Consider the following 20,326-nt stretch of genomic DNA (forward strand, 5'->3'; position numbering starts at 1 on the left):
CCATCTCAAATAAATAAATAAATATGGCTGTTTACTGACACATCATCTTACAAACTAACACCTGAGAAACTGATGCCACTTTCCCCTAATGCATCTCCATCTTGAACACAACACCTCCAAACAACCGCAATAAAAATAAGCTCCTGAAAGAGATCTGTGGATAGAAGATGGTTGCACAACCACTTGAAGGTACTTAATGCCACCAAACTGTACACTTTAAAATAGTTGCACTATGTATATTTTACCACAATAGAAAATAATTCCATCTCAGGCTCTAATTCTTGATCAAGAAACAGCAGATACTTACTTGCCAGCATCCTCTATAATTGTATATTGAGAACTCTTTTAAACTGTTGCCATGGTTAATAATTTAGAACATAAATTAAAATATTGAGTCAAATAATAACCAAGCTGTCAGGCCGTGCTGCAACTCTATCTTTGGCATTTCAATTATGTATGGCATTAGAGCTTTGATCTGCATAATGAGTTGATAGCACGCAGAAAACAAGACCATTTCTAAAAATGTGTCATTGGCCAAATGCTTTCTTACAATCAATTCTAAATCCTCCAAGTTAAGAGAATTAGGTAACGTAAGCTAAAGTTGCAATGTGAATCAATCTGGCTGTAATCAGTTCTCCCTTTTTTCTAGAAATTAGTGTGCTTAAAACGGCACGTTATCAAATAAACTAGCATAACGGTTGTGTTTCTCCTGCTGTCTTTGATGAACATTAACTAACAAGAAAAATCTGTCCTCAAAAACACTATTTTTAATTTCCTGACATGCAGAAGTTAAAGAGCTTCTTAACAGTATTTCTACAATAAAATACATCCAATTAAAATCAATCAATGTCTACTGTGGTTAACTTTATTTATCAGCTGCCATAAAATATGCACCAGGATCAGTCGCTGTGTTCAAGGACCATCTCTTGAAAACAAGAACATGAAATTCTGACTCACCGATAGTTGACCTTTCACTTGATATTGTCTTCCCTGATCCTGAAAATAGAATAAAAAGCAGCCATATATGTGTCTTCATGGGACTTTCACCCCATATCACCAGCACAGCACCTGGCACATGGTAGTGGCTCGATGAGTATGTGTTAAAAAAATAAACAGGAAAACAGCATCAAGGTTTATGAGTTAAAACAACATACAGAGAAGTGAGAAGTATCCACAGACACTTTAGGCAATAGATCAAGTTGCAGAAAAGTTACATATATGGATCTTTATAAATTACGTCATTTCAAAATCCATTCCCTTGCCATATGAATCACCCTCTGTATTACTTTGCATTGCTGCATCCTACAAAGGGCAGTTTAATTGTTGTTGTGGTTTTTTAGAATGCAAATAATTTTCTAATTTATCTATTTTGTAACTTTGATGATAATGGATATGTTGTTCTTGATTTGTTCTTTTTAAAAGTAGAACATGTCAATGTCTCAAATTTATTTTGCAATACAAAGGGAATAAAATATAAATGGTGAAAAATGGAGTACTTATAATTTCAAAGGATTATACTACTAACTCATCCCTTTACCCTGTTATATTAGAAATGGTACAGTGCTGAAAGAGGATTTCTGAGGATTAATAAATAATTTGATAAAGAGTAGAACTTCTGGACAGAAGTGAAAAGAACAATCAGTATCAATGTAACAAAATATTGTTTTCTGTTTCTTTTGTTTTACATAGCAGTGCTTTATATGGAAGGTATCTCAGAAATATGAGTTAAATAAGAATAAAATCCCATCCCTATATTCCAAGTTCACATTTTATAAAGCACTCTTGTCAATTTGGAACTTGCTCCTTGTGGTATGTTCACATTGCAAGATCACAGCCAAGGCCCACACTCCACCAATTATTAATGTGGAATTCTATTTAAGCATAAAAGAGATTCCATTATTGCCTACTTCAAAAACCTATATTTTCTATTAGTAAGAATAAATCAATTCCCTATGCAGGATAACTACCAAATCAACACCATTGTCTCAAACTTTCTGAGTTAGGAGCCAGCAGCTGTGTGACATATGAAGTTTTACGCCAATATGGATTATCGCTCACCTCCTCCACAACTGCTAAGACAGAATTTTAATCAGAGGGTAACAAAGGCAATGCACAATGCACTCTGTGTGCCGAGTGGTCTATGTCCTTCTGCTGCTAAAAGAATGCCCGTGCTAAATTATGCATGCTTTTCTCTTTGCCTGAAAGACGTCTACATGTGCACTGACCTTTCCCAAGGCAGACTAGCTAAGGTGAGAATTCTACATTTTGCTTCTGCTCATATGAGTTTTATTTGTTGTCATTAAGGCCCTTTTTTTTTCCGTATTGTACATGAAAGTAGCCAGAAGGGAACCTCTGCTGCCATCCCTGAATACTGAAAAGGAAGGAACAGCTTATCTCCAGCTTAGAATTCATGACCAAGCCCAGGAGTGCAAGCCCAAACCATAGAGGAGGCCAGAATGCACTCTAAGAAGTGTACCCAGCTGCTTCATGGCACACCAGGGAGCCAGGGCTATCTGTTCACCCCCCAACAATGAACGCTGAGGCTCCTCAATCAAGGGATGGAGAGGGACCAGGCTAGTGCCAGGCTCTGGGAATTATAACAGAACCTGAATGGCCACTCCCCATATCACTTCCATCTCAGAATCAAGGTATGTGAATCAGAGATAAAAAATTTCAAAGTATCAGCCTCCTGTACACAACCTGAAATCTACACCTTGTACCAAGTGTTAAACTGGATGAAGTTGGCCTAAATCTGCTTCAATACTTTGAATCCTTACACAGCAAACTGCCACATAACTTAAGAGAATATTCTTGTAACAAAAAGCTGAGTCTCAGCCAATCACAGCAGCCAAGCTTCAGCCAATCACAGGCTGCCAATGAATCAGATCATAAGGTAAATGCCTCATGATATTGCACCCAAATAAGACAAATGCCCAGCCATGACTAATCAAGCTGTGCCTATACTTCCTTTCTCTGTCCATATATATTGCCTGCGCACATTGCTGGGCTGAGCTCTCTGAACCTCTACTACTTCAAGGTGCTGCCTGGTTCATGAATTATTCTTTGCACAAATAAACTCCACTAAATTTAACTTGTCTGAAGTTTTTCTTTTAACACAAGAAAGAGAAGAATTCTGAAGTACTCTTCTCTTCTTCTATTAGTGTTGACTCTTGGCTGAATGTCTGAGAGGTCACAGAAAAATCTGAGGAAGAAGAAAACACAGACTTCCATTGCCAGTAATATGGCAGACCGGATAGCTGAAGAAAACCTGTACAAAATACATAAAGTTACTGAATGTCAAAACACGCACATAATATATACATATATGTGTATATGTATATATGTGTGTATGTATATTATAAATATACATATACATTATAAATGTATATCTGAATGCACGGTTGAGATGATGGGTAAATAAGGAAAACTGTCAGAGCCCTGAAATAACAGGAAAGCATGGATCCAAACAGATAAGAAAGATCAGGTTTGATCTTGCTATCCAGGAAATCAATGGTAGTGAGCCACTTAGAAGGGACAAGGGGCAATGTCTAGGGCATATGCTGGGGCCAGAGTGCCAGAAGAGATCCCATGCACAGAACTGAGAACCCCCAAAATGCAGCAGCCTTAGGAGGTAAATTAGAAAAATATGATTCAAGAAAGCAAGTGGAGATGCTTGCCCATCTCAGCATTGGCTCTGGGTGAAAAATGAAAAAGAGGTGCCCTGAGAATGCCTAATATATATAAGGCCTCCTTCACACAGGTATAGGCTGAAATTGGCACTCTGGGGCCCCAAAATTTCCATATCAAAGATTTCATTTTGAAACACCTTGGAATGACAGTACTCCCAGATGCCTCCAAGAAATAAATATAAGTCCTCTCTGAACAAATACACTTTAAATATAGGCCTCAAAAAATTCTCACATTAACATTCCCACAGATAACATTCCAATGACCATAAGCTCAAATCAAAATACCACAAAATTCTCAGGAGGGAAAGCTGTCATGAGCAAGTAACAGAAAAAAAACCATGCTGCAAAATTACATGCACAAAAATTGCAGATATTGGAACTATCAAAGAAAAACTATAAAAATGTTTTATCTTTAAGTGTATGGCAAAAGACAAAGAGACTATGAAGAACTATCAGATAGACTTAAAAAAATAAAATTTTATGTATTGAAAGACAGAAGATCTGACCCTTATTTAACAACTTTACATGAAAAATTGTTAAATATAAAAATAGTTCCAATAACTTCAATGGAGAAAAATTATAATACATTCTATCTCCATGGAAGACATCCAGACAACCTTGACAGGTAGAATAATATGTCAATTGAACATTAAAAACAAATTCAAATCCTAAAAACAATTCAAAAGTGAACAAATATATAGCATAGAAAAAATACAAAGTACATAAAGGCTTTTTTCTTCTTTTTATACAATCAATTTTATCAATGTGTTTTATCAATTTTCAACATTTGGTAAGTTTATGGGTATTTCACATTCAATCTGCATGTAAAAATAATATTGCAACACAGGAAAACACATTTAAGGCAAAAAAATGCTTCAAAACTTACGGAAATAGTGCGATCACAACAAACTAAAGAGATGTACAACAGCCATCTCTTCTTGTCTTTTGTTTGCAATGTGTGCACAGCAAATGTTTTAATTCATCCCAACACAAAGCAGAATTCAAATTTCCTTAGCAGGGGTCAGAAAACTATAGCCCGCTTGTTTTTATAAATAAAGTTTTATTAGAATATCATTCATTTACTTGTAGTCTATGGCTGCTTTTTTCCTATGACGACAGACTTGAGTAGTTGTAACTTACACTGAATGGCCCACAATAGCCTAAAATATTTATTTATTATCCAGCCCTTTACAGAAAAAGTTTCTATAGGATAGTCTCTCACACACTGCTGACTATGTCTTTTCCTGAATTTCTAATGTCTAAATATCACTTCCTATAGGGTTTTATCTCATGTGCTTGGGACTGAGAAAGTCATTAGGTCCCAAAACCAAAAAAAAAAAAAATAAAACCAGGAATCATCCAAAGAGTGGCATTACTTTTCAAAAAGCCATTAACTGAACAGTTCTTACGCACAGTATGTCTGTACGTTGACATTAGAAACCGAATAGATGGTCTACATGTTGTATTGGACATGGTTAAAAAGAGAATTTGTAAAACAGAAAATAGAGCTGAAAAAATTACCCAGCGAACAGCACAGAGGGAGAAAAAAGATAGAAATATGAACTAGATTTAAGGAACAGAGAGGAACTCTACAGCACATCTCACTAGAGTTCCAGAAGGAAACACCAGAAACATTGGGGAAAGAGGTTATTTTCAAAGAAATAATGGCTGAGAATTTTCCAAGATTGATGAAAGACAATTATCCTTGAGTTCAGGAATCTCACAAAACTCTGAACAGGATAAAAAAAAAATCCTCACTCACCACATTAAAAATAAAAGCAGAAAGGAGAGAGTAGAGATAGGAAAAACAAAGATATTTAAAGCAGCCAGATAAAAAAGGCATGTTTCTATAAATATCAATTCAATTTAAAACTGACTTCTCAAAAGCCAGTTAAATACTATATTTTAAGTACTGAAAGTTAATAACTTCCAACCTAGAATTTTACACCTAATGAAACTATCTTTGAAAGCTTAGAATAAAATGAAGTTACTGTCAGATAAATAAAACTAGGAGAGTTTACTTCCAACAGGCCCTTACTAAAAGAACTTCTAAATAATGTATTTCGGGAAGTATATATCTCCCAGAAAGAGTCTAGGAGGCAAGAAGAAACTGTGACTGGGAAAAAAAAATACATAAATGGGGTTAAACCCAAATGAATGCTCACCATTTAGTACAATAGCAATAATATCTAATTTGTCAATTTACAAGATAGATAAGGCAAAAATACTAAACAGGTGGGGATCACAGTTTTCTAATACTTTCTTTTAGGAAAAAGAAACATAAATATATTGATTAGTGGTTAATTGTAGACTTTGTTAAGTTACACACATACGGAAAAATTTCTAAGAGAACAACTGGAAAAACAATAGAATGTGTAACTTCCAAACCAGTAGAAGAAAAAAATTGGAAAAAGAAAAAAAAAGCACTCAATTCAAAGGAAGGAAAAGAAGGAGAGAAAATGAAACATAAAAGAAGTAGAATAAATAAGGCACATAAGTAGCAGTAATCACAATAAATGTAAATGTACTAAGGCTCTAACTTAAAGACTGAGATCATCACATAGATAGTTCTAAATCTAGCTAAATGCTATTTTCACTTCAAAATAAAAGGATACACAAAATATTATGATTCTACTTATATGAGGTACTTAGAGTGGTCAAAATCATAAAGACAGAAAGTAGAATGCCAGGGGCTAGGAGATGGATAAACACACAGTTAATTGTTTAATGGATACAGAGTTTCAGTTTGACAATATTAAAAGAGTTCTGGAGATGGGCAGTGGTGATAGTTGCATAACATGAATGTATTTATTACCAATGAACTGTACACTTAAAAATGGTTAAGATGATAAATTTTGTTATGTGTATTTTGCAACAATAAAAAATGAAGTAGCCAGGCGCCATGGTTTGCACCTGTAATTCTCAGCTACTCGAGAGGCTGAAGCAAGAGGATCACTTGAGCCCAAGAATTCGAGGCTGCAGTGAGCTATGATCACACTACTGTACTCCTGAGTGACAGAGCAGGATCTCATCTCCATAAAGAAAAACATATTTTTCCTAATGGGGAAATAAGAAAGCAAGACATAGAGTGGAATATTATTCTGCTTTAAAAAGAAAGAAAATTCTGACGCATGCTACAACATGGATGAACCTTGAAGACATTACAGTAAGTGAAATAAACCATTCACAAAAGGACAAATCACTATATGATTCCATGTATATGAAGTTCTTAAATTGGTCAAATTTATACAGACAGAAGGTAGAATGGTGGTTGTCAGGGGCTGGAGGATGAAGGAATGAGGAATTATAGTTAAATAGGTATGAGTTTCAGTTTGGAGACATGAAAAAAGTTCAGGAGATGAACATTCGTGATGGTTACATAACAACATGAATGCACTTAATGCCACTGAAATGTTCACCTAAAAATGGTAAAAATAATGAATTTTATACTATGTATATTTTACCATGATAAAAAAATTTTAAGACACAAATACACAAAATAAAAACATAAGGAAGTTTTAAAGTTAAGGGCTGGCCAAGCATCACTAAAAGCAGAACCATAAGACACTGTGCAGCGATAGGAGCAAAAATAATTATTCATATAAACTATGAATTATTTTTGTCTGAAAAAAATGAACCTCCATTTAATTAAACCTCTAGATATAAGTAACGTTGATAGAAAATATAGAAGACACAAAACAAGTAAATGACAATATGAGGAAGAGGACTTTCAATTACAAGAGACTTCAGAGACTAAACAATCAAATGCAATGTGAGGCCCTCCTATACAACATTAATCAAACAAAAAGAGATACTTTTTGAGATAAGGACAATTTAAACATGGTCTGGGTATTCAGTAATTTTTAAAGAATGATAATTTTTAGGTATGAAAACAGCATGGTGGTTATGTACAATAAAGACCTTATCAAGTTGAAATATATATGATATTTAGGGGGTATGCTTCTATCGTGCTACTCAAGGAAAAATCTAGTAGGCCCTGTAATTTTCTGGCCACTTGTAGGTAACAGAAAGTCCTAAAGTTACTTTTAAGTCACAAAAAATAATTGTGATTCAGAAAATAGAACGTTCAAGTCAATGTATGACATTGACTCTAAAGAAGATCAAACAAACAGTAAGACTTCCTGCTGCATCCCCAGCTAGGATCTGTACAGGTAGCCTGTAGGCTTCTTCTCTCTTTTCTACCCACCTTTTAGCTGCTGTTACTCTTCTCTCTGGGTTTGAAACACATGATGAAGAAAGACCACATGACTGCCACTGCCATGAAAATGCTGGCTGCCTCACTATATCCCCTTCCTCTTCACAAAAAGAATCACAGCAATAAGTTTATATTTCCTGGCTTCTCTTAGAGCTAGGCATGACCACACAAGTGAACCCTGGCTAATAAGCAAAAATGTTAGGTGGGGCATCCCAAAAGTCTCCTTAAATAGGAGGGGGCAGACCGTTCCTCTGCCCTTCCTTTCCTTCTATGCCTGGAACGTGATGTGATGGCTGGAGCTTTAGCAGCTCTCTTGCGCCATGAGCACGAGGAATCTATTCCTAGGATGTGGGAGCAGTGAAGTAGAAGACTTGTTCCTAATAACTGTGTGGAACCACCACCCCATTCCCAAATTGCCTACTTCTTGACTTATTCTATGTAAGAAAGAAGTAAACTCCTATTTTGTGTTACCGTTGTTCTTTCATTTATATGCAGGGAAACTTAATCCTCACTAGTGCAAATGGCTTCACATCCTGTAGACCAGCAGATACTCAAACCAATGTTCTCTCTTTCTTATGGGTACTTTTGTAGGTTTTCCAGGGGCTCCCTGCTGGGCCCCTTTAACCAAAATCCCTGTGATGTGGATGATGCATTTAAGTCTTCTGTTTGTACTGCCCCCAACCCTACCCCTGCAGCCCCTAAAATTCACTCCACAAGCTCTCCGCTGCCTGTGCCTCCTGGGCAGAGGCCAAATTGTTCCAGCCTGGCTCTCCATCCCACCTGGGCCACATCTGGTCCACAGGAAGCACACACAAATCTCTCCAACACGCTTGGCAGCGGGGAGGCCCTATCCCAGCTGCTCCCCTTCACTCTGCCACCAAAGTGTCTCACCCGAGTCACATGACAGCCTGCCACACTCCAAGTCCCAAGGGACACAGAGTCTGCTGTCCAGGCAGCCTCAAAGCAGCTGCTCTCTCTAGGCTTGGGGTGGGGGCAGCACCCCCACAACCCTTCCTCCAGGATGAAAGGACAGTGACGGGCGCACAGCAGAGGCTTCTTCAAATAAATCCCCTCACACATCCAGTACCAGTGTTTTACTGTATCTTCAGAGTGAGGAGGATTTTCAAGAGCTTGAGCCTGGTGTTTGGATATTTCATTTGAAAAATTCCACTGGGGTCTTTCTTGCAACTTATTTTAGTAACTGTTATATAATATATCTTGAAGGGTTAGTCAAATTTTCCCATTCAACAGCCTGTTGAACTGGAACAAAAACAAATTATTTGTGGATGCACATTTCTGGTAAAGCTTGAAAGAAAAGGAAGGAAATAGTTAACAATATTTGAAAAAGCAGTTACCCCTGGGGTGAGGGAGTGGGAGGTAGGAAGGAAATATGACCAGGAAGCACATGTGAAGGGTTTCAAAGGAATGTTCTAGATGCTTATGGATAGTTATTTGCTTTATTATCATAAGTTAAAATGGATGCACATGTTACATACCCACATATGTATTCACAATTTATAAATTTAAAACTAAGCAAAAGAAGAGACACAAGATAATATCTAAACTCCATAGCAAAGCAACTTGGAAATAAGATCACACTCTGAGAATGAGGTCATGAACTCAACAAAATGGAGGAAGCAAGTCAAAAACTGACTTTTGTGCGTAGGTTGAAGGATTTCCTCCAAGACTGGGGTGTTGTTCTTAGACAATTCTACAGTGGCAGTCCAGTGGCACAGACAATGCCCATAACCTATCTAATCTACTTTAATCATCTGCATGGATAGATCAGAGAAAACCATCACAGAGTTGGTCACTGGTACTCCAGAGCTCCCTATAGTAGGAAAAGTCTGCAAGCCCTCAGAGGTGAAAAGGGAGTCTTAGCCGGGCACAGTGGCTTACGCCTGTAATTCCAGCACTTTGGCAGGCTGAGGCGGATGGATCACGAGGTCAGGAGTTTGAGACCAGCCCAGCCAAGATGGTGAAATCCCGTCTCTACTAAAAATACAAAAATTAGCCGGGCGTGGTGGCACACACCTGTAATTCCAGCTACTCTGGAGGCTGAGTCAGAAGAATCGCTTGAAGCCGGGAAGCGGAGGTTGCAGTGAGCCGAGATTGCACCACTGAATTCCAGCCTGGGCGAAAGAGTGAGACTCCATCAAAAAAAAAAAAAAAAAAAGGGAGTCTTAGCCAAAAGAGTCGGGGAGCTGATCCTGCTGGCAGTCTACTCGGCTAGACCAAGGCTCCATGAACTATAGGGACATTTAATAAAGGCTTCTGAATTCTTTTCACATTACTTCAGTAATTGCCAAAGCAACTTTCTAATTATGATCTGGCTTCTTACTTAAGGAACTTGTCTACAGGAAAAGAAACGGCTGATCATATGGATTTTATTCTTGTTATTAAGGTAATGCTAGCTTTATTATAATTAATAATGATGAGAGCTAATATTTCTGGTGTGCTTATCCCATTCGATCCTCACAATAATCTTAATCCTATCAACAGGCCGCATAGGAAAGTGATAAAAAGCAACAGACTGCCAAGATTCAAATCCCTGCTCAACCCTGAACAGCTGCGTAACCTTGAGCAAGACATTAAGCCCCTTTGGGCCTCAGTTTCCTCACTATAAAGAGAGGATAATGGTAGTGCCTGCCTCACAGGGTTTTCTCCTAAAGCAACTGGCATACACTAGGCAAAATATAAATGTTATAATGCCCATTTTACAGACAAAACAACTGAGACAGCGCTTGGCACACAGTGAGCACAATATAAATGTTTGCTATCATTCCCATTTTATAGACAAAACAACTGAGGCTCAAAGTGGTAAAGTAACTTGCCAAAATTCCACAGCTAGTAAATGGCAGCTGGTCTAACCCAGACATCTTAGACTTCAGACCCAATGTGCCAAACCACAGTGCCGTATAAACTGAATATTCAAGTTGCCGTGACAGTTACCTACAAAGGTAAATTAACCTGTTTATCTCTTGGGTCCTTTTCAACCGTGGGGCCTCTCTTGGCTAGGTGATTTACTTAAGACCTGATCACTGCCCTTGCAGGCTGAATATGCAAGATGCCAGGCCTCTGAAACAGAACACCCAACTCCTCCGCTGAGACCTGGTCTGGCCCAGCTGCAGCCAATGCATCCCCCACGACAGCTGTTTGCTGCCCTCTCTGACTAGCTACTGAACCCTGAAATTCTCAAAGGCTGCCCTGGGAATTTTCATCATTGAGATTTCAGCTTCTAACAATATGCCAATGAAAAAATATCACCCTAGACAGATGCAGATGATCCCAACCCTGTCTTCAGCAGGCCGTAGGCAACTATCCTTCCTTCAACATCTTTCTAACCTACAGGCCAAAATACATTATATCTGTGAAGGGTCTGGAAACTGGGAAATGGTCCAAATGTCATCGTCTATCAGGGGCCTCCACTGTACTGTAGAAAATGCACAGGGAATGAGCCTAGCTCCTGTTCCACTTCTGCCACTGGCAACCACGTGAACTCTGAGAAGCCTCTTTGCCTCTCTGAGCTTTGGCTTCTCCTTCTGTGGTGCAGAAACACTGGACTAGATGATCTATACATTCCCTTCCCTTGTTTGATCTTTATTTCCCTGTTTTCATTCAGAGCCAGATCTCATTTTGATTTGACCACATTCAAAAACAACTCACAATAAACTCTCACTTTAGGGAGATACACACACGCTGATTTCCATAATGCATAAATGGAAAGGAACACTGTTGCTATTTGCAATTGTGAAGGGATAAAGCCACTTTCAAAACCCCAACATGAGCTGCTGGAACCACTGAGAGGGAAAAATCTATTAGTCCGATAACCATACATTACATGAAACGTATGGAGTGGAAGCTTTTATTCCTGAGAGTACGCAGCAATAAACTGGTCCTATTCCTAATGTGGTTCATGACAGTCAGCCCAGATTACATGTGTATGTGTATGCCTGAGTGTGTGTGCACAAATGAGAAAGTACTATGAACATCTCAAGAAAGGACCATATTCATTATGATGATCATCTCAAAATGATATCAGATAACTTATCAAAGATACTAGAGTGAGTCATAATCTTACTTTTGGCCCTATACAGACAAAATACTTGCAGCTAAATCAGCGATGCGAATATACTTTTGAATTAGACTGCACAGAACAGATAAGTTGAGAAAGTAAGTAAGGGTTCACCACATGGACTTTCAGTGATGGTGGTTTGATATCTAAAAATACTCTTTTCATCATCAGCATGTATAAAATGTAACTACTTATTGATTGCTATTTTCTTCTTCCCAACATCATTGTAATTTATATTTTTATGATTTAAAGCAACTTTAAGATGGCTCCATTGAATAAAATTAATGCCATCAAGTAACTATTCTATATATCTTTTCAGAAGTCTGATTCATAAAAAATGCAAACTATAGATGATAAATTTCTCCACACATTTTTTAGAGGTTTCATAATCTTTGTAGCATAATTTCTCTTAATGGCCCAATAGCACTGAATCCTTCATCAAATTTTTATGCAATATATTTGCTACACTGGCACTCTAATAAGAAAGGAAAAAAAAAGACAAATGATCCAGAAAGCTGAGGTATGTTATGACCAGACTATTATTCTGAATGGTAATGCCAGGCTTGCCCTGAATACTTTGCCTAATTAGACTTCACACGAGAAAAAAAACTCTTTAATATTTAACAAGTATAATGGTGCAATCAATGTGCACAAATCAGGCTCGATAAGGAGTATTGCTTATTAAAAAGAAAGACAGATGGCTACGGGAAAGGTATAATCATTAAAAGTAAGACCTCACAGACTCCAACTGTGAACACCAGCCACGTTCTTTAAAATTGCCACTTCAACCACAGAAGCTCAATGCATTATTTAGTCCTGTCCTCATGCTCAGCGGACCACAGATACACCCACGTCATAGATTGAATAAAACAACTTGGTTCAAATAGATGGTCTTTGCTGTTTCTCAAAAACCATATTTTCTTAACCACTTTTGCTGATGTCAGAATCCCAGAGAGTCCAGATGTCCAACACGTCCCTTATAATCGTTTCAGCTAGGTAATTAGTCCTCCTTTTTATTACCTTCAAGAACACGTAACATGTTGGAAGCCTTCCTGCCCCTATTAAATCCAGCCAGCCTGCCACAAGAGTATGAATATATAATTTATTTATAGGTAACTTTTAAGAAAACACATAGTATGTAGGAATATAGTTGAAAACAGGCATGCTTATAAACTGAAAATTATAATAAAAGAGATTTCTAAAGGTGAGTTTTCTGTTTGGTTTCTCCAAGGTCAGATTTACACTCAAATATGGGGATCCTTGAATGTGATTTGTCTATTCACGAACACAGTTTTTACTCACCATGTTGACTATTAAATTGCTACATTTACTCTTTCCATACACCTTTATCAAGAACCTTCTGTGTCTACACACTGTACTATACTTGCCACACTTTTGGGAAGACATTATAAAATTGTGTAAACTATGGTCCCTATACTCCAGGAGTCTATAATTTGGTCCAAATACAATGTAAACACAGCTAAAACATCCACTGCCACGTAACGTATTACTCTTGGTACCCATAAAGGTACCATAGCAATCTTGGGAGTAAAAGCTTTAGAGACAGACAGACATTTGTTCCAATGCTGGTTCAGCCTGTCATAGTCGTCTGACCCGAAGTATTCCATCGATGTGAATCTCAGTTCTTCAAGTATTTTTGTATGTGTTGAAAAAATAAATTCTACAAATAAAATACTTCAAATAGGGTTTAGCACATAGTAAAACTTCCTAATCTGCTGCCATTTCCAGATTACCAGAAGAAAAACGAGCCTTAATTTAACTGAAAAACCAACTATTCACCCCTTGACTTAGATACAATGATACCCATATCCACATCTTATCTCTCTTTGGGTACATACAATCCCACTTTTGATACATAATAATTGTACATACTTATGGGGTACATTTGGTTTTTGATACATGCTCACAATGTGTAAATTATCAAATCAAGGCATACAATCCAATTTTTCACTTGTGCCCCTAAAGAAACTCCTCAGAACTAATCTTACCAAGTGTTTCCAGGAAGATCATAGATTTGAAGTACAGAGAAAAAAGGATTTCAAACTTTAATTCACTAGCTGGATGTGCACAGATGAAGCTAAGGTCATTTAGAGTCCATTTGATTCATGAAGCTTTTTGCCACCATTTCCATTTCTGATGTTGTAAAATAAACAGGAAATAAAAATACATCCCTCTGCCTTGAAGTACGCAGTGAGGGCTCACCATCCCCAGGGAATATCTGTGACTGAAATGCCAGGGGGTCATGTCCAGGTCCTGCTGCTCACAGCACAGAAAGTCGATCTCAGAGAAAACGCGTATTGCAAGGGAAGAAGGTTTTAATCACACGGCATCTCCCTGACCCACTAAAATTAGGGGTTTATATAGCAGGGAAGGAATATAAGTACACATCGGAAAACAGGAATTAGGGAGGGGTAAGGAAGGGGAGTTGGCCAACAGGAAGCAGGTGGTCACTTAGGCAATTACGATGGATGAATGGTCTGGGGTTTGCTCAGACTTGGTGATCTGGTTAAGTTTCAGCTCCTTGATAATATCTGGGAGACCTGAGGGTTGGTTTTCTGAGAAAGGAACTCAGATAACACAAATGGAAGTTTCTTAAGTTTTCTATGTTTATTCAAAAGAAGCAATAAACATCAGTTCTATGGGAAAATTGGACCAGTTTCAGATGCTCCATGGGTCAGTAAGCCCTAGCGTAGTAATATATTCCTTTCCTTGTATTTCAGTCTCCTGTGAGCTCCTGGGGTCAGAATCCACTGTCTGTTCATCTATGTAACTCCAGCATCAAGCACAATGCCAGGCATACAGTAGAAGTCCAAAACTAGATTCTGAACAACCTGAGAGTAGGCATCTTGGTAGTTCATTATTATAAGGGGCACCTAAAACTATCTGCCTATTGGCCATGGTACCTAATGATGTTGCAGAGCCCATCACGTGCAGATTGATGAAAATAAGGAACCTGGGTTCTATTCTCAACAACATCATTCATTCCACTAAGTAGCTGGGTCATCTTAGATAAGTCACTTAGCCTCTCTGAGCCTCTGTTGCTCATCTTCAGATTAGACAGATAGTACAGGTCATCTCAAACCTGCTATTATTTCTGCAAAATACTGTTGTTAGATCAAATGATCTCAGAGATGCTATTATTTCTGTTGATATATTTTTGCTAATCATTGGTTCTCTCATTAATTCCAACTCCAACATGTTATTGACAAGATTATTAAATGAAGCCTACAAGTCCTCCAGAAATGAAGTATCTCTTTCAAATGCATGATTTTGCCATTTCAAAGATTTCTAGCTCATGTACATTAAATAAACAAACACGATCAGCTTTATTCAAAGCTTTGCCATTCATTCTCTGACCTTCTTTCCTACACGATGGAGAGCAAGGGCGATACTTGGTGGTTTCACACACTGGCATGTCATCTGCCCCAAGAATAACACAACCATCGCTTGTGGACACCAGGGAAAGGGGTTTAAAGAGCCAATGCCTCCCACATGCCTTCACTTTAGTGGGTGGCCAGCTCCACAAGCCAAAGAAGCCCCTCCTCATGCTTTCAAGCAACCAGACAATTTTACAAGGGTCCCACATTCACATCCCATCCCACCTTGGTGAAAAGTGCAAAAAGTCACTGGTTACCCTCTGTGCACCAGTAAAATTCATCATCTTGAGACGACAGGGGAAAAATGCAGTCCTGGTACTTAGCCAGCAAATAATTCCTGCAGTTGGTTCAAGAGGTCAATGTCTTGAGTAGGAGAGAAAGCAAAAAAAAAAGCCGGTATTTCCAACTTCATTTTCCATTAGAACACCAAACGTGAAGATACTGGTTCTACATACAGGGTCTAAGGAGGCGTTCCCTGAGGCCTCTGTTATCCACACTAATAATGCCCCAAGCACTGGTGCAGACTCATTCTTGGAAGAATGCAAAAAGCTAAGTCCAGTGAAGCTGGATAAATTCCTTTTTATACCCAGATATATTAATGGGGAAAACCCTCAGGATTTTTAGTTACTTAAGTGAATAATATGTTCTCTACTAAGGAAAGCTATTTTTGAGAGCACCCCAGACCCAAAATGTTGAACCAGCTTACTCGATCCAACAAAGTGACTATTTTCTGCTCAGATTTCGGCTTCAGCCACCCTCTGGACTGATGAATCAATTCACAGTCCACAAATTTCATTGCTTTGCATTTGATTAAATTCCTACTTTATGGATTAAGAACTTGCCCAGGGCTACAGAGTGAGTCAGCTACAGAGCTCTGTCTCCACCAAGCTAGTTTCCTACTGTAGAAACTTGTCTACACCTCCAACTGGAGGAGAAGTAAAAAAAAAAAGAAAAGAAAAAAAGAAAGATAAAGACTCAAACTCAGCTTTCTCCTGTTATTCCTGTTATTCAGGCCCAGAAATAAATGGGCCATAAGTTTAGTTAAAAGATGAAAGAAATCTCCCTGCCAAAAAGTATGCTTTAGACAACTTGGAGGTCATAGGTATATCCAAAGAAATATCCCTGCAAAATACAAGTCTCCTCCCTTGTTCACCCATTATGTAGCCATAAACGTACTCAAAAAAAATCTTACTTCTATGCATATAAGTTGCTCAAAGGTAACCTGGAAATTTTAAGTTACTTATACGTATGGAGGTCCAAGAAGATGTATTTCTTTCCTATCCTCTTGTATAAAGAGCAGATGGTAAATAATAAAAGAAAAACTATTACCTTTCCGGTAACTAATTAAAGTAGCCAGGGGACATTAGGAATTCATCCTTTAACAGCAAGTTCTAGTCATTCCTGTCAGTCTAGAACTTCAAAGATATCAAGGGATTTCTGGGATTAGTTTCCAAACCCAAGCACCTTATCATAGCGACAGGTACACAGTAGGTATTCAAGATATATTTGATTATAATAATCTAGAACTTACACATTTAAAAAACTAAGAATAGAAATAGGAGATATAAGGCCTAAAGCAAATATAGCATGCTCCTCCTCATCTTCCCAATGCTCCTTGACACTCGTTTTCTTTTCCATGTTTCTTTCCCGTCCCTCTCTGCCATAACAGTTGACACATATATTAAGGATTTACCATGTGCTGTAGCATTTACGTACATTAGCTCAATGACTCAGCAAACCCCTCAGTAAAATAAGCATGATTATTCCATTTTATGGATGAGAAACAGGAATCTAAAGAATTAAGTAGGCTGAGCGCAGTGGCTCACATCTGTAAACCCAGCACTTTGGGAGATCAAGGAGGGTGGATCACCTCAGGTCAGGAGTTCAAGACCAACCTGGCCAACATGGTGAATCCTCTACTCTGCTAAAAATACAAAAATTAGCCGGGTGTGGTGGCGAGTGCCTGTAATCCCAGCTACTTGGGAGACTGAGGCAGGAGGATCGCTTGAACCCGGGAGGCAGAGGTTGCAGTGAGCCGAGATCGCACCACCACACTCCAACCTGGGTGACAGAGTGAGACTCCATCTCAAAAAAAAAAAAACATTAAGGAACTTGCCCAAGTTCACAGAGTTAAAAAGTGAGGTCGTTGTGCATGACTCCGTCTCCCAGGCCCATTCACCAGGGGTGCTGTTTCCTTATCCAGTTCATTCATTCCGAGATTTTTTCACTTATTTGTGTGCTTTGCATGTACTCATGATACTAATATTCCCAAGAACCATTTGAACTAACTTGGGTTTCATTTCAAGGACTATTCCTCTTCCCACTAAGCTGTCCTTCTGTGTTTTTTTTTTTTAAGTTTGCTTGTTCAATTCATTTTAATACACTGTATTAGTTCCACAAAATGGGCTTTTGAAAATTACAGTAACTTGCTTGAAACAAACTCTTCTCCAATTCGATACTGTTTTTAAATTTTTGGCTTTAAAAAAAAAAGCCTGAATCAAGCTTCTCTTGCACCTGGGCAGGTTCTGTTTGCTTATTCACAGAAGGGCTGGTTTATGCCTATGTGCCATGGCATAATAAATAACGAGTTAAGGCTTCCTGCTCCTGGCTGAGGTAGACGTTTCTGAACTGTAATGATTTTGTAAAATCCACTTTCCCTCCCTACCACACACATCTACCCTGGTCACCAAACAAGGCGGCTCAGTATCATAAAACCACTTGGAACATCTCTCTAAAGACCATCCCTGATCTAACAACACAGGCTAGTCTACAGAACTGCAAGCAGGGCCCTATACAGGCCTCCATGGATCTGGCTCTCTGCATCATAGTGAAACAGACCTGGATGTAATTAACCAAATCCCCAGCTCAGAGGGGGTCAGGGAGAGGCTCATTTCTCCTGTGACAATAGCTACCCCTTAAAGAGCTCCAGTAGTTATTGCCAGACAACTAATAATTTTGACTTAGCTACTCACTGACAGGGGATGTACTGCTTTTGGAAAAATCCTGCAGTGGGAGGCCAGGGAGCCAGAAGTCCATAAGAGGCAATGCACCAATCTGGAGATGCACCAGGCTGCAGCTCTCCTCTGAGCTTTTTAGCAGAAGCCATCCAGCTGGTGCAGCACAGCTGAGCCTCTGACCCAGCCTTGGACCCCTCAAGAAATGGTCACTTATATCCCCCTGCATCCTGGATCCCCAACCGCTTCTGTTCAGCTGACCTCCAACTTCATTTCTGACTTGTTCCAACTTCCATGAGACCTGAGTTCTTGACTTCTTCTTAAAATAGCTTCTCCCTTACCCCTTGTACCCAAACCTTATTCTACACCATAGGTACCTCTCTTGGGCTCCAAGCTGCCATTTGCCTCCTGGCCATCCTCTTTGGCCAGCTTAGGTAACAACAAAGGGTCACAGGGACCCTACACTGCTGTCAGGTTTGTCCCAGCCTCTGGTGGAAGAACCAGAAAACGACATTCTAAAGGAACTGATCACACTCGGCCTTGGATTTTAGATACTTTTATCTCTACCACCACTCTGTCAGTAGGGGGCAGCGGGGAAGAGGGAAGGGAAGGGAGAGGTTGAGAGGAGACAGATGAGAAGAAGAAAACGGACACTGCTATTGGTTGGTACCTACTACTTCCTGGTGGCTCGGAACCTTACCTATACCTTTCGTTTAATTCTTGCAACAAGCCTATAAGATGTTATTATCCCCATTTTGCACATGAGGAAGCTAAGCCTCAGAGATGTTTAGTAATGGAACAAGGTCCCCCTAGTCAGTAAGGAGTAGAGCTGGGATTCAAACCCCAGGTTGTCCACCACCAAAGTCTCAAACCCTTCCTCTCTCCTGCACTGTCTTCACATCTTGGTATTCCCTGCAGTGTCTGGCAGAGTACCTTCATAGAACAGGTGCATAAAAATGTTTGATAGATGAATGCATGAATGGCTGACTCCAGCCTTAATACCTTAATATTCTGCAACCCACACACTCGATCTTATTCATACTTTCTGCTTGTAACATGCCTGCCAAACACCTTGATCGGAAGTTAGATGTTAAACAGAGATGTTGCTCTACATTGCATTTTTGAGCTGCTAGAAAAAGCTACATACACAAACCTATACATTAAAAGTGCTGAAGCAGACCCTCTGATAAAAATTATTTTGTTATCTTGCTCCATCATGCCCAGAAATGGAGACAAATACAATACTGTAAGGAAAATCAATGTTTGCATGTCAGAACTCAAAGACCTTTTCCAGGCTGCCAATTCAATGAGTATTTATGCTGGAAAAGACAGCAAAGAAGTCATGAGCTCAGGTCCTGGAGCCAGGCAGACGTGCACTAAGGCCCAGCTACACCACTTACTAGCTGACCTTGACTTGCTTCCTAAATCTTAGCGTTCTCATCCGTAAAACGCAGATGATAAGAGTGCACAGTTCCTAAGGTGGCTGTGCTGATTAAATGAAGAACTCACATACCACACTAAGCAGAGTACCTGCTACATATTTAAGGGCTCCATCAGTGTTAACCGTTTTTATCATGGGAAGAGAATTGTGACAGAAGCGAAACAAGAAACCTTAAATGAATTACTTACCTTTGCAAACATTATTATAAGCGCTAAGTTTACCTGAATCCTCTGTTCCAGATTATTGCGACTACTAGAATGATCTACTCTGAAAGCAATGCAGTCAATAATGATAATATTAATAACAACCAACAGTTATATATTGATATGGTTGGGTTCTATGCCCCCACCGAAATCTCATGTCAAATTATAATCCCCACATATGGAAGGAGGGGCCTTGTGGGAGGTGACTGAATCATAGCGGCAGACTTCCCCCTTGCTGTTCTCGTGATAGAGTTCTCATGAGATCTGGTTGTTTGCAAGTGTGTAGCACTTCCCCCTTGGCTCTCTCTCTCCTGTTGCCATGTGAAGATGTGCTTGCCTCTCCTTCACTT

At 39.0% G+C, this 20,326-nt stretch overlaps 1 protein-coding gene across 34 annotated transcripts in view, besides 1 other annotated feature; it reads right to left on the bottom strand.

The window, feature by feature from the left end:
• The window catches only part of CSGALNACT1 (chondroitin sulfate N-acetylgalactosaminyltransferase 1), a 353,748-nt gene that overhangs the window by 327,338 nt on the left and 6,084 nt on the right, over positions 1-20,326 (bottom strand). For 5 of the 34 annotated variants that reach the window (XM_047421961.1, XM_047421969.1, XM_047421976.1 and 2 more), the window contains exon 2: positions 958-1,068. The exons of 27 other annotated variants lie outside the window; for them this stretch is intronic. The gene's annotated coding sequence lies outside the window, so the exon portion shown is untranslated. Of the gene's footprint in view, positions 1-957; positions 20,136-20,326 lie in introns of those variants that run through there. 2 more of the 34 variants (XM_047421970.1, XM_047421974.1) reach the window with 1 other exon arrangement.
• Positions 24-1,223: an enhancer, noted in NCBI's record as "BRD4-independent group 4 enhancer chr8:19589033-19590232 (GRCh37/hg19 assembly coordinates)". NCBI's record gives its function as "activates an origin of replication core promoter dependent on BRD2, P300/CBP, MED14 and CDK7 cofactors, and independent of BRD4, by STARR-seq in HCT116 cells {active_cell/tissue: HCT116}" and the evidence as "EXISTENCE:reporter gene assay evidence [ECO:0000049][PMID:35650434]".

Source organism: Homo sapiens, chromosome 8 (assembly GCF_000001405.40).
Source record: "Homo sapiens chromosome 8, GRCh38.p14 Primary Assembly".
NCBI classification, from domain to species: domain Eukaryota; kingdom Metazoa; phylum Chordata; class Mammalia; order Primates; family Hominidae; genus Homo; species Homo sapiens.